This window comes from Homo sapiens, chromosome 5, assembly GCF_000001405.40.
Source record: "Homo sapiens chromosome 5, GRCh38.p14 Primary Assembly".
Classification (NCBI taxonomy): Eukaryota; Metazoa; Chordata; class Mammalia; order Primates; family Hominidae; genus Homo; species Homo sapiens.
In genome coordinates, this window is record NC_000005.10 from 116186394 (window position 1) to 116201951 (window position 15558).

General features: G+C 36.7%; 1 protein-coding gene and 1 pseudogene across 5 annotated transcripts in view, besides 1 other annotated feature; one reads left to right on the top strand and one right to left on the bottom strand.

Moving 5' to 3' along the window:
* COMMD10 (COMM domain containing 10) overlaps window positions 1-15558 on the top strand; it is a 208263-nt gene that overhangs the window by 101369 nt on the left and 91336 nt on the right. For 3 of the 5 annotated variants that reach the window (NR_146220.2, NR_146218.2, NR_146219.2), the window contains one exon: window positions 65-4548. The exons of the other annotated variants lie outside the window; for them this stretch is intronic. The gene's annotated coding sequence lies outside the window, so the exon portion shown is untranslated. Of the gene's footprint in view, window positions 1-64; window positions 4549-15558 lie in introns of those variants that run through there. 5 annotated transcript variants of the gene reach the window in all.
* Window positions 2062-2159, bottom strand: RNU6-644P (RNA, U6 small nuclear 644, pseudogene; annotated as a pseudogene).
* Window positions 5081-5581: an enhancer, noted in NCBI's record as "H3K27ac hESC enhancer chr5:115527171-115527671 (GRCh37/hg19 assembly coordinates)". NCBI's record gives its function as "activates a minimal SCP1, AML or CMV promoter by ChIP-STARR-seq in primed H9 embryonic stem cells {active_cell/tissue: H9 hESC(primed)}" and the evidence as "EXISTENCE:reporter gene assay evidence [ECO:0000049][PMID:30033119]".

Sequence of the window (15558 nt, forward strand, 5' to 3'; positions counted from 1 at the left end):
GCTCTAAGCACTTTTTTCATTTCATGAAATACAGTTAATATTCTCCTTCTCTGGGTTTTTGCAGGTTCTATCCTTTAACTGGGAAACACTCTCTGCCTTCCTCAACTCCTCCCACCTAACTGTTCAGTTATCAGATGTGATCTTCTGAAGGAGGTTTACCTTGACCTGAACTGGCTGAGTTCTCCTACTTCATACCTTCTCTTCACAGCACTTGTCACATTTGTAATAATGTATTTGTCATTCTCCCTGTGCCTTTTAATGTTGGCTTCTAGAGATTAGGGATCCCACTGGTTATAGGACTGGAGAGGGGAGCTCAAGAAATATTTGTTGAAGAAATGACTGAATAAATTAACAACTGTAGCTTTTCCCAGTTCAGTGCATCAGTTGTGTCCTTGGCCTTATTGGAGTTTCTCTTCCTTAGCAGCATAATGAATTTTAAGTGGAGGAAAAACTATTAGTGATTCCACTAGAGTTATTAAGCACTGTAGCCCGTAATGCATCATAGGCGCACAACATATATACTTTTCCATTATTGTCCTCTCCTTTTTGCTTTAAAAATAACTAGAAATATGTAATAATTTCAAATACTAGGAAGCTGAGTATTTTGTTTCTTATGGCACTTTTAATCAAATCACATTATTTATTGAGTACTACTCAGTGTATATCCTAAAGTAAAAAATAATAATAAACAAATGAATCAAGTTTCTAAAAATCAAAACAAAAAACTTTAAAAACAGTATGGGAATACATGTGTTCAAAAGAGACCCCAGAAAGTGTTTTCTTCCTGAATATATTAGACCCTTTTCAGCTCCTAATGCTGTAGAATAAATGAAGTGTTATGAAACTTATAATTAGGAACTATCTGAAAGCCAAATGTTTAGCTAAAATGTGTGATAAATTAATGAACATACAAATGAATAGATAGCAGTGGCAGTGTATTTGTTTTGTGAATTTTATTTATATGCAAAATAATAATTGTATATGCATTTAAATATAATTGAATGGTATACATATGTATAGAGATTGCTACCATATTTGATGGATTGGTAAATAGTATTAGAGGTAATTTCTGAAGATATTTTAGTGTAAAGATATTGATGTAAAAAAAAATTCAGCAACCTATCTATATATGGCTGTAACAAAGAAGAGTGATTTGGACTACTGCTACAAAGTAGGTTAAATGATCTCTACATTACTTCATGCATTAACATTCTCTAAATTACTTCATATATTAACATTTACATGTAATATATTTGTAGTATATTCTAATTTAAATATCCAACGGAAATTTGGAAATGAATATAGTTTGTGTTTAACTGAGTTGAGAAAGCATAGTATGGTAATTAAATTCTTTTTTTAACCAAACATTATTATAAATAAAATTGCTGAATTCCAAGTATTTATACTTAAATAACTTTATGTTGTAAACAGTGTTTTTTTAAAGTACTTTCTTTATACCTTACACTTTATTTTAGTTAAGTTATAGCCATGTGTCTTGGGTAGAATTCTGAGAGAATAATAAGGGACTTTACCCTGTAATCACAGAAGCAGTTTGGTAATATAGGAACCAAGTGACAGCTTTTCTTTTTCAAGTATATAGATTCAGATCTGGACAGGAATCTTTAAGGGTGACCTAAAACATCATTACGTCAGTTTACAACAGAAGGTTTACTCTGTTAGTTTCCAGTAACTATAATGGAAACTAACCTAGATGAACATTGGTACCTACTTTGCAGTTAGTGACTGATTTTATTTGACCAATTAGTACTCATGATGGAGAGGAAAATAACTTGTCTGTGACCTGTCATGATCAACTCCTAAGGGACAAGCTTTGATTACCTCTTAGGTTTATTGTTTTTGCCTTATCAAGTCCACTTGACTTAAAGTATGTTCTACAGGCGGAATACACTGGGGGTGGCGGGCATGGAATTTTTTTTTGCTAGAATTAGAGCTAATAAGTTTGATTTAGAGTAATCAGTTTTTGCCTCTGTTCTCCCAACAATTGTGTGATATTAGGAATATCTTTCTTGTGTTTCTTTTTAATAGTTTTTATTTTATTTAAAAAAAATGGAACACTTCACAAATTTGTGCAGGGGCCATGCTAATCTTCCCTTTGTCTTTCCAATTTTAGCATATATGCTACTGAAGTAAGTGAGCACATGGTTTTTCTCTTTCTTTCTTCTTTCTTTCTTTCTTTCTTTTCTTCTTTTTCCTTCCTTCCTTCCTTCTTTCTTTCTCTCTCTCTCTTTTTTTTTTTTGACAAGGTCTGGCTCTATCATCCTCCAGGTTGGAGTGCAGTGGCACGATCTTGGCTCAGCTTCCACCTCCCGGCTCAAGCAATCCTCCCACCTCAGCCTCCCAAGTAGCTGAGACTACAGGTGCACACCACCACACTTGACTAATCTTTGTATTTTTTTGTAGAGAGGGGGTTTCTCCATGTTGCCCAGGCTAGTCGTGAACTTGTGAGTTCAAGCAGTTCACCCACCTTGGCCTTCCATAGTTCTGGGATTATAGGCGTAAGCCACTGCACCCAGCCCATATGTTTGTTATTAATGAAGGTTGTGCTATCAGACACATAATATCACTGTGAAAACAACATTTGCCACCTAATTCCTTAAACAGTGTTCTACAAGAATAAAAAATTTATTGATGGCTCATTGTATGTTAGGGTTTATTCTGAGTGCCTTAGGTTCCACTTCCCTCTGTGGAAGCCAAAGTGGGGCAGATAGTTCCTCTCATAACTCCTGTGACAGCTAGAGTTTGGGGCATATGACCTCCTGTGACAGCTAGAGTTTCCATCAACTAGTTGGAAATCGCTGCATGAGACTTCACATCTAGGAAAAGTGATGCAAAGACATAGCAACAGTTTAGAATTTATTCTTCTAGTGGTTTCCAACTCCCAGGCTCAAGCAGTCCTCCCACCTCAGCCTCTAGTGGCTAGAGCAGCATCCAGTGTCTCATACCAGTGGAGATACTGGTACCAGCAGTGGTGGTGGTGCCACATTCTCAGCAGAGGCTTCCTAGGCTGTCTTTTTTCCAGCATGATTTTGGTTGCAGTTCTGGCTTCCTAACCTTCTTTAGTGCCATCTTGTTTCCCAAGTCTGTTTCTTCAGCTTCATCATTTTGTGTGCCATCCGAATTGTTTCCTACTTAACTTAACCAGAAATCACTTCCATTCTTTGTGACCAAGAACTGGACTAGTACAATTCTCTTGGAAAAATTGGCCTTAATCCCTAGCTGTTTGGCAATATCTTATTATGATTAATTTTTTATAGCCACAGCTGCCAGAACCCTAAATTTCAGTTAACACTGTAAAGAGAATTTAAGAAAGAGGAAATAAGTTTATTTAAGTCATGACATCAGAAGAAAACAGTAATGAAAATCTAATGAACAGTACTATTTTCAAGAAATTGTTCATGTATTTTAGCAAAATGAAAACCACTTAAAGCATATTTTCAGTTGTTGCTGTTTATTAATATTATCTTTATTATGAAAGGAGGTAATTTGTACTAGGCATGTACTCCTGACCTTCTGAAAAACCTCCCTTCATTTTTCTTTGAAGAATCTTTCCCTTTCCTGCTCTTAGAGTAGGGCTACCTCCACCAATTCAGAGGTGATGTATGTGACCTATGCCTAAGCAATCAGCACGCTTTATCTCCTTCAACACAGTGATTGGTTGAGATTGGATGAGTATATATCAGGGTACCTCCACTGAAAGATAGCTATTGCAGCTTCAAGCACCACAGCCTCACACATCACATGGAGCTGAGAAGACCAAAATATCAGAAAGTAGGACTGAGAGGATGGAGGGAAAGAAACTGAGTCCTGATGGTGTATTTTGAGGCCTATATATATATATCTAGTAGAAAATGTTATGAAACTTTTATAATTAGGAACTGTTTGAAAGTTAAATATGCAGCTAAAATATATGATTAATTAATGAATGTACAGAGGAACAGATAGCAGTGACAGTGTATGTTGTGGAATTCTACTTACATACAAAATAATTGTATGTGCATTTAAATGCAACTAAGTGGTACACATATGTACAGAAATTGCTACCATATTTTATAGTTTGATAAATACCCAGCTATTTTAAAAACTATTTCTAATCCTACAGTTTCAGTTCCATAACCCATTACACTGCTTTTTTGCCTATGCCAGTTTGGGTTAGATTTTCTGTCACTGGCAACCAAGAGTTCTCTGTTTCTTTGGAATATAAATGCTAAATCATCTTGAGTTGGGATTGTAAAGTCTTGCTACCATGTTTTGAGGAATACCTCTTATTTATGTTTTAGTTACATATAACTTTTGTACCTAAAATATTAACAAGGAAAGCAACTAACAACTTTAAGCTGAAATACTAATCCTGAAAGATAAGAATGAAAACTCAAACCTTAAGTTCTATAAAACTTTGAGATAGCTACATGTTTACTTTCAGAATAATTTAAATTGGTAGAGTACAAGTTGGGAAACAAACACTTTAAGTGAATATTTAAGTCATGTAAAATATGTATTTTTAAAAGTCAAATTAAACATATTACCAAATTTGCTGGAACTATATATTTTATTTATAATAAGCACTTTTCTACATTTTACACCCTGTTGCCTTACATAACTTTCCACAGTTTTGACATTATAACATTGTGATTTTCTGTCAAACATGAATGAAAATACGAGTTTATGGATGATAGACTCATGCTATTTCCAGATTTCAGAGGGGTAGAGGAAGCAGCAGAAAGGCCCTGGAGCTCGCTGGATCCCCTAGCAGGCCATTCCTGCATGACACCACAGGGATCCATCAGGAGGGTGGCCAGAGGAGCAGGGGGCAAAACTCCACAGAGAGAAGTAAATCTCTAGCTGAACTTTGTAACAATTTGAATGGGGTGAGAAGCCTCCTGGCCAGAACTCGGGTGAGGACACAAATCTGGAGGGCACACTCAACAGGTGGGGGAAGAATGAAGCCCTATTCTTTTGCAACTGGGTGGCGGATAGCCTGGGGCAAGTTTTCAAGCCTGTGTCACCCACCACCTGGAAACAGACTTGGGGCTCTTGTGGGGCTCGGTGGGAGTGAGACTGGCCCTTTGGTTTGCATAAGAGCTGGGTGACGCCTGTGACTGCCAGCTTTCCCCCACTTCCCTGACAACCTGCATGACTCAGCAGAGGCAGCCATAATCCTCCTAGGTACACAGCTCTAGTGACCTGGGAATCTCACCCCAACCCCCAACAGCAGCCACAGCAAGACCCACCCAAGGAGAGTCTGAGCTCAGACATACCTAGCCCTGCCCCCACTTGATGGTCCTTCCCTACCCACCCTAGTAGCGGAAGACAGAGTGCATATAATCTTGGGAGTTCTAAGCCCCTGCCCATTGCTGGTCCCTCTCTGCACTACTACAGCTGATGCTCTCTGGAAAGCACCACCTCCTGGCAGGAGGCCAACCAGCACTAAAATAGAGCATTAAACCACCAAAGCTAAGAACCCTCATGGAGTCCGTTGCACAACCCCCCATCCTCCCACCCCCCACTAACTCCACTGGAACAGGTGCTGGTATCTACGGAGAAGAGACACATAGATGGTTCACATCACAGGATGTGATATTGTGCAGACAACCCCCAGTACCAGCCTGGAGCCGGGTAGACTCGGTGGCTAGACCCAGAAGAGAGACAGTAATCACTGCACACAGTAATCACAGGAAGCCACGTCCATAGGAAAATGGAGAGAGTACTACATCAAGGGAACACCCCATGGGACAAAAGAATCTGAACAACAGCCTTCAGCCCTAGACCTTCCCTCTGACAGAGCCTACCTAAATGAGAAGGAACCAAAAAACCAACTCTGGTAATATGACAAAAGAAGGCTCTTTAACAACCCCCCCCCCCAAAAATAACACTAGTTCACAAGCAGTGGATCCAAACCAAGAAGAAATCCCTGATTTACCTGAAAAAGAGTTCAGGAGGTGAGTTATTTAGGTAATCAGGGAGGCACCAGAGAAAGGTGAAGCCCAATGCAAGGAAATCCAAAAAACAATACAAGAAGTGAAGGGGGAAATATTCAAGGAAATAGATACTTTAAAGAAAAAACAATAAAAAATTCAGGAAACTTTGGACAAACTTATAGAAATGTGAAATGCTCTGGAAAGTCTCAACAATAGAATTGAACAATTATAAGAAAGAAATTCAGAGCTCAAAGATAAGGTCTTCAAATTAATCCAATCCAACAAAGACAAAAAAGAATAAGAAAATATGAACAAAGTTTCCAAGAAGTCTGGGATTATGTTAAACAACAAACCTAAGAATAATCAGTATTACTGAGGAAGAAGAGATTTCTACAAGCTTGGAAAACATATTTGATGGAATCATCCAGGAAAACTTCGCCAGCCTTGCTAGGAACCTAGACATCCAAATACAAGAAGCACAGAGAACACTTGGGAAATTTATCACAAAGAGATCATGGCACACTGACTGTCATCAGGTTATCCAAAGTTAAGACGAAAGAATCTTAAGAGCTGTGAGACAGAAGCACCAGGTAACTAACTTATAAAGGAAAGCCTATTGGATTAACAGCAGATTTCTCAGCAGAAACCCTATAAGCTAGAAGGGATTAGCCTTATCTTCAGCCTCCTCACACAAAACAATTATCAGCCAAGAATTTTGTATCCAGCGAAGCTAAGCATCATATATAAAGGAAAGATAGTCTTTTTCGGAAAAACAAATGCTGCGTGAATTCACCATTACCAAGCCACCACTACAGGAACTGCTAAAAGGAGGTCTAAATCTTGAAACAAATCCTGGAAACACATTAAAACAGAACCTCTTCAAAGAATAAATAGCACAGGACCTATAAAACAAAAATACACCTTAAAAAGCAAAAACAAAGTACGCAGGCAACAAAGAGCCGGATGAATGCAGTGGTACCTCACATATCAATACTGACATTGAATGTAAATGGCCTAAATGTTCCACTTAAAAGATACAGAGTGGCATAATGGATAAGAATTTACCAACAAACTATCTGCTGCCTTCAGGAGACTCACCTAACACCTAACACATAAGGACTCACATAAACTGAAAGTAAAGGGGTGGAAAAAGGCATTTCATGCAAATGGACACCAAAAGCAAATAGGGAAAGCTACTCTTATGTCAGACAAAACAAACTTTAAAGCAACAGCAGTTAAAACAAAGAGGGACATTATGTAATGGTAAAAGGCCTTGTCCAACAGGAAAATGTCACAATCCTAAACATATGCACCTAACACTGGAGCTCCCAAATATATAAAACAATTACTAATAGACCTAAGAAATGAGATAGACAGCAACATGATAATAGTGGAGGACTTCAGTACTCCACTGACGGTACTAGACAGGTCATCAAGACAAAGTCAACAAAGAAACAATGAATTTGTACCTTGGAACAAATGGACTTAGCAGATACATGCAGAACATTTTATCCAACAACCACAGAATATGCATTCTATTCAACAGTGCATGCAACTTTTTCCAAGATAGACCATATAATTGAGGCCATAAAATGAGCCTCAATAAATTTAAGAAAACTGAAATGATATCAAGCCACTCTCTCAGACCACAGTGGAATAAAACTGGAAATCAACTCCAAAAGGAACCTTCAAAACCATGCAAATACATGGAAATTAAATAACTTGCTCCTGAATGAGCATTGGGTCAAAAACAAAATCAAGATGGAAATTTAAAAATTCTTTGAACTGAACAACAATAATGACACAACCTACCAAAACCTCTGGGATACAGCAAAGGTAGTGCTAAGAGGAAAGTTCATAGCCCTAAATGCCTAAATCCCTAAAAAGACTGAAGGAGCACAAACTGACATTCCAAGGTCACACTTCAAGGAACTAGAGAAACAAGAACAAACCAAACCCAAACCCAGCAAAAGAAAGGAAATAACCAAGATCAGAGCAGAACTAAATGAAATGGAAACAAAAACAATGAAAAAGATAAATGAAACAAAAAGCTGATTCTTTGAAAAGATAAAAAAATTGATAGACCATTAGCAAGTTTAACCAAGAAAAGAAGGGAGAAAATCCAAATGACCTCACTAAGAAACAAAACAGGAGATATTACAACTGACACTCCTGAACTACAAAAGATCATTCAAGGCTACTGTGAACAACTTTATGCACATAAACTAGAAAACCAAGAAGAGATGGATAAATTCCTGGAAAGATGCAACTCTCTTAGCTGCTTACATCAGGAAGAATTGGATTCCTTGAACAGACCAATAACAAGCAGTGAGATTGAAATGGTAAGTTAAAAAATTACCAACAAGAGAAGTCCAGGACCAGACAGATTCACAGCAGAATTCTACCAGACATTCAAAGAATTGGTACCAATCCTTTTGATACTATTCCACAAGATAAAGAAGGAGCCCTTCCTAATTAATTATGTGAAGCTAGCATTACCCTAATACCAAAATCAGGAAAGGACATAACCAAAAAAAGAAAACTACAGACCAATACCCTTGATGAACATAGATGCTAAAATCCTTAACAAAATACTAGCTAACCAAATCCAACAACATATCAAAAAGATAATCCACTATGATCAAGTGGGTTTCACACCAGGGATGCAGGTATAGCTTAACATATACAAGTCAATAAATGTGATTCACCACATAAAGAGAATTAAAAACAAAAATCACATGATTATCTCAATCGATGCAGAAAAAGCATTCAACAAAATCCAGCATTCTTTATGATTAAAACTCTCAACAAAATCGGCATACAAGGGACGTACCATAATGTAATAAAAGCCATCAATGACAAACCCACAGCCAACATAATACTGAATGAGGAAAAGTTGAAAGCATTTCCTCTGAGAACTGGAACAAGATAAGGATACCTACTCTCCCTACTCCTCTTCAGTATAGTACTGGGAGTCCTAGCCAGAGCAGTCAGACAAGAGAAAGAAATAAAGAGCATCCAAATTGGTAAAGAGAAAGACTGTCAGTGTTTGACAATATGATCGTTTACCTTGAAAACCCTAAGGACTCCTCCAGAAAGCTCCTAGAACTGGTAAAAGAATTCAGCAAAGTTTCCGGATACAAGATTAATGTACACAAATCAGTAGCTGTTCTATACACCAACAGCGACCAAACAGAGAATCAAGTCAAGAACTCAACCCCTTTTACAATAGCAAAAAATAAATAAGTAAGATACGTAGGAATATAACTAACTGAGGAGTCAAAGACCTCTACAAGAAAAACTACAAAAGACTACTGAAAGAAATCATAGATGACCCAAACAAATGGAAGCACATCCCATGCTCATGAATGGGTAGAATCAGTATTGTTTAATATTACTCAAATCAGTAAGAAAAAAACAATCCCATCAAAAAGTGGGCTAAAGACATGAATAGACAATTCTCAAAAGAAAATATAACAAATGGCCAACAAACATATGAAAAAATGCTCAGCATCACTAATGACCAGGGAAATACAAATCAAAACCACAATGCAATACCACCTTACTCCTGCAAGAACAGCCATAATCAGAAAATCAATAAACAGAAGATGTTGGCATGGATGCAGTGATCAGGAAACACGTCTACACTGCTGGTGGGAATGTAAACTAGTACAGCCATTATGGAAGACAGTGTGGAGATTTCTTAAGGAACTAAAAGCAGAACTACCATTTGATCCAGCAATCCCACTACTGGGTATCTACCCAGAGGAAAAGAAGTCATTATTTGAAAAAGACACTTGCAAACACGCATGTTTATAACAGCACAATTCACAAATACAAAGTCATGGAACCAACCCAAATAAATGCCCATCAACCAACGAGTGGAGACTATTATTCTAAGTGAAGTAACTCAAGAATGGAAAACCGACCATTGTGCGTTCTCACTGTTTTGTGGGAGCTAAGCTATGAGGACACAGAGGCATTAGAATGATACAGTGGACTTCGAGGACTTGGGGTGAAGAGAGGGAGGGGGTGAGGGATAAAAGACTACAAATATGGTGCAGTGTATACTGCTTGGGTGATGGGTGCACCAAAATCTCACAAATCTCCACTAAAGAACTTACTCATGTAACCGAATACCACCTGTACCCCAGTAACTTATGGAAAAATAAATATGTTAAAAAAAAAAAGTAATAGCCAAATCTGTTAACTCTGTGATTCCTGCTTTGGTTAATGTAGATTATTATCACATGATATTAAAGAGTCAGGATTATGGAGTTAATGTTTTACTGGTGCTTTTTTTTTTAAAAAAAGAAAAATGTTTATTATTTAAGGCTGTGTGCAGTATGTGCTTATATTCAAACATCCCTTATGCTGTTAGTCACAGAAATACTAACTATGTGTATATGAATGGCTTTTCACAGTCTATATAATGATTGGAAAAATAACTAATATAGTATATTCTAAATGATGAATCTTTATCTTCCTATATAAAGGACATCATATTACTAATTTTCAAATTTATCAGTAAGACACTGAACAAAGCCTAAAAATTAATGGATATTGTTTTAATGTGATGTATGATTTACTAAATTAAGCTTAGGAGCATTTCTGTCGATGTATTCCTATCTTTCAGTATGTGCTTACATACAAATAACAACTTTGTAAGTATTTTCTTTTTACAGATTTTCAGTAATTTATATCAGAAGTATATAATCAAGAAACTTTAGTGTTTCTGTCCGTTAAATATTTAAAATATTTTATTCTAAAGTAAACCCTTTTGGCATTTTTTAATGTGGGGTTGCCTCATCAAATTTTGCATAGCCTACATTACAATCATAGAATCTTGAGTTTTGGAAGAGACTGTAAAGTTCATTTCATTCATTCAGCATCCATTTGGTGGTAGTGTGCTTTGAAGACTTACTAAGAAATTAACACCTAGGATAACATTTTTTACTTTGCAAAATGTCATTGTATTAATATTTTACGCAAACAATACATGAAATTACAGTACTTTTTTTCTGTTTCTTGCCAAATTGTAAGTAGAGTTGAAAACAGAATTATTTTTTGGAGATATGATCTTGCCCTGTTGCCCAGGCTGGAATGCAGTGGTGTGATCTTGGCTCACTGCAACCTCTACCTCCTGGGCTCAAGTGATTCACCCACCTCAGCTTCCTGAGTAGCTGGGACTTGAGTGCCACCAAGCCTGGCTAATTTTTATTTTATTTTATTTTTTGTAGAGACAGGTTCTCACTATGTTGCCCAGGCTGGTCTCAAACTGAGCACAAGTGATCCATCCCCCTCGGCCTCCCTACGTTCTGGGATTACAGGTGTGAGCCACCGTGCCTGGCCCCAGATTTTTATTGTCTTTGAAACAGAAAATTCATGAAAGGATTCTGCCATTTTATTCACCTTTCTGACACTGCAGTAAAGTGCAGATTAAAGTATAGTTCCCTGTGAAATAGCCAGTTACCCTTTGAGTAGACTCCAGTTCACATAAAGAAGTACAGGGAGATTACATGACTTGCCTAGGTTATATATTGAGTCAGTAGGAGAAGTAGAAATACTAAGTGCAGATTCACAGTTCAGTTTAGCCCAGAACTATGGATGCTTTCCTTATGGTTATTACCTGGAAGGCTTTACAATCACTGATGTACCCTCCCTGCTGTCTCCTCTCACTTACACATATGCAGTCTTGATTATTTTGATAATTTTTCTACATTTATACACACTTCACACATAATTTTTGTTTTTTTAAACCTCAGTTTATAGCCTTAAGTTATACTCAGGAATGTACATTGTACTCTTAAGCAGAAAGACCTTAATATTAGTTACAGCTGAAGAGTGAGCTTAATTTCTAAGTACATTTTGGTTTTTCCCTTTTTGTATGCCTTTTATAGGTGTTCACCTTTAGCAGCCAGTCTCTTGACTTTGCCTAATACTATAAAGAATAGCAAACATTGTATTGACATAATTGGTTGTTATGGAAGTCATTTTTAATAGAATGACCATACCTTATTTATTAAAAAATAATAAACTTTATTTTTCAGAGCAGTGTTAGGTTCACAGTAAAACTGATAGGAAGGTATAGAGATCCCCCGTATATTCCCTTCCCCTATGCATGCATAGCCTATCCAATTATCAGTATCCCCTATTAGAGTGATATGTTTGTCACAATAGATGAACCTATATGATTATCACTCAAGACCCTAGTTAATATTAGGGTTCACTTTTGGTGTCATACATTTCATGGATTTGGACAAGTGTATAATGACAGTACATCCACCACTGTAGTATCATATACCATAATTTCTACTACACGGAAAATCCTCTACAGTCCTGTTTTACATTTTCAGAAGTGTCATATACCTGGAATCATACAGTATGAAGTCTTCTCAGGTTTTCTTCTTTCACTTATTAGTATGCATTTAAATTCTCCATGTCTTTTCATGCATCGATAGCTCATTTATTTTTAGTACTAAATAATCTCTTGTCTGAAGGTACCACAGTTTATTTATTCATTTACCTACTGAAAGACATCTTGATTGCTTTCCAGTTTTGCTAAGTATAAATAAAGCTGCTGTACCATCCATGTGCAAATTTTTGTATGCACGTAAGTCTTCAACTCCTTTGGATAAATACCAAGGAACATGTTTGGTGGATTGTATGGTAACAGCATGTTTAGTTTTGTGAGAAATTGCCAAACTGTCTTTCATGGTGGTTGTATCTTTTTGCATTTCCACTAACAATGAAATGAGGGTTCTTGTTGCTCCTTATCCTCACCATCATTTGGTGGTGTCAGTGTTCTAGATTTTGGCCATTTTAGTAAGTGTGTAGTAGTTTCTCATTTTTGTTTTAATTTGGATTTCTCTACTGACATACGGTGTGGAGCATCTTTTTATATATTTATTTGGCATCTGTGTAACTTCTTTGATGAGGTTTCTGTTTAGGTTTTTGGCTCACTTTTAAGCTGTGTTTTCTTATTGTTGAGTTTTAAGAGTTCTTCATATATTTTGGATAACATTCCTTTATATCAGACATGTGATTTGCAGATATTCTCTCCCAGTCATCTTTAGCTTGTCTTTTTATTCTCTTAACAGTGTCTTCCCCAGTATAGATTTTTTGTTTTTAATTTAATGAAGTCCAGCTTGTCACTTCTTTCTTTTATGGACTGTAGCTTTGATATTGTATCTAAAAAGTCTGTTTGTTCAAAATAGTAATGATTTGGATCTGTTAGATCAATTAAGAATGAAACAAAGTTATTTTACCATTATGTATTCTTTCCCTAATGCTCCCTCTTTATGTAGATCTGAGTTTCTGACCTGTCTCCTTTAACATCTTTTAAAGAACTTTAAAAAACATTTCTTGTGAGGCAGGTCCACTAGCCTAAAATTTTCTTGATTTTTATTTGCCTGAGAAGATATTTATTTCTCCTTCAGTTTTAAAATAAACAGGGTCTCGCTATGTTGCCCAGGTTGGTCTTCAACTCCTGGGCTCAAGCAATCCTCCAGAGTATCTGGGATTACAGGTATGTAGCACCATGCCTGGCTTTCTTCTTCACTTTTAAAGGGTGATTTCAAAGGGCACAGAATTTTAGGTTGTTGGGTTTTTTCCTCAACACTAAATATTTTACTCTACTCTTTTTGTATTTTCAATTTTTGTGGATACATACTAGGTGTATATATTAATGGGGTACTTGTGATGTTTTGATACAGGCATACAATGTGTAATAATCACATCATGAAGAATGGGGTATCCATCCCCTCAAGCATTTATCCCTTGTGTTACAAATAAATTATATTATTTTAGTTATTTTAAAATGCACAATTAAATTATTATTAACTGTGGTCTCCTTGTGCCATCAAACAGTAGGTCTTATTCGTTTTTTCTACTATATATACTTTTTTGTACCCATCACTCCACCCTTTTTGCTTGTACTGTTTCTGAGGAAAAATTGGATGTAATTATCTTTGCTCCTCTGTAAGTAAGGTGTTTTTTTCACCACTTTGGCATCTTTCAGGATTTGTCTTTATCTTCGATTTTCTGTAATTTGAAGATGGTATCCTTAAGTGTAGTTTCTTTGGCATTTATCTCTTTTGGTGCTCTGTGAGCTTCCTGGATCTATGGTTTCGTATCTGACATTAATCTGAGGACATTTTTAGTCACTATTGCTTTACATTTTTTTCCTGTTCTTTTCTCTTTCTTCTTCTACAATTTTTATCACACATACGTTATACCTTTTGTAGTTGTGCCACATTTCCTCCTGGGTTTTTTGTTTTGTTTTGTTTTGTTTTTGTCTTTGCTTTTCAGTTTTGAAGTTTTCTGTTGAGATATTTTCAAGCTCAGAGGTTCTTTCCTGAGTTTTGTCCATTCAACGGCATTCTTGATTTCTGTTACAGTGGTTTTTTTGGTCTCTAGCATTTCTTTTGGTTATTTCTTAGATCTCTCTTCTTGTACTTCCCATCTGTTATTGCTGTCTTCTTATCCCTTAGAGCCCTTAGCATATTAATCACAGTTGTTTTAAATTCCTGATCTTATGATTCCAACATCCCTGCCATAGCTGTGTTTGGTTCTGATGCTTGTTCTGTCCTCTTCAAACTCTGTGTTTTTATGTTGGGAGAAGAGAAGTGTTCTGTTGTCCTATGATTAGGTATCACTTTTTTAGTAAGCCTGTGCCTCTTGACTGTGAATTTCACAAGTGCTTCTCAGTTTTTTTATCCTTCTCCAGTTGGACAGATGGCTAGAGTGAGCTGGAGTTGGGTATTTTCTTTCTCCCACCTGGAAGGCTAGTGCCAACTGGAGTTGGATATTTTCCTTCCTGTAAGTCAGTTAGGCTCTGATAGAACTCCAACAGGTTAAGCTCTGTTTAAATAGTTTCCTCTATGGGCAGACCTTGGTAAGAAGCACAGAGTGATCCGGCATATTTTAAAAATGGCGTGTCCTTTCCTTTGCTGGAAGCATGAGTGGATTTTTCTCCAGTATTCACTGTGAGAACCAGATCAAGTTTCTGGAGGTTAAACTCAACAGAAGTGAGGAGCCTCCTTATGGCTGGGTGCCCCTGCATTTTTCAGTTTTTACAGTTGTCCACACTGACTCCAGCAATTAATTGCTGTTTAAGTTTTCTTACACTGGCACTAGCTCCCATGGAGGTTTCTACTTCTGGGTTTCTACTCCAATAAGTTACAATTCTCTGTATTTACATCTGTCTCTCCAATCTGGGGGGCAATGGTTTACCCTATGACTTGACTTCTCTTATGGATCCGAGAAGAATCGTTGATTTTTCAGTTTGTTGAGATTTGTATTTGTTGTTAGGATGAAATGGTGACTTCCAAGCTTCTTACATGCCAGACCAGAAACCAGAAATCCCAGCTTAATGTCACAGACTGACATGGACTGCACTGCAGCATTAAAGAGAATAAGAAGTTGTCGTTGGGTTTCAAGTCTGTGAAACAAAGTAAGGTTTTTAATTTATCCAAAGTTACACACCCTGCAAGTGACACAGGTGGGAATAGAATCTAAATATTTGGACTCCCAATTAAATTATCTTTCTTTTTATTTTATTTTATTATTATTATACTTTAAGTTTTAGGGTACATGTGCACAATGTGCAGGTTAGTTACAT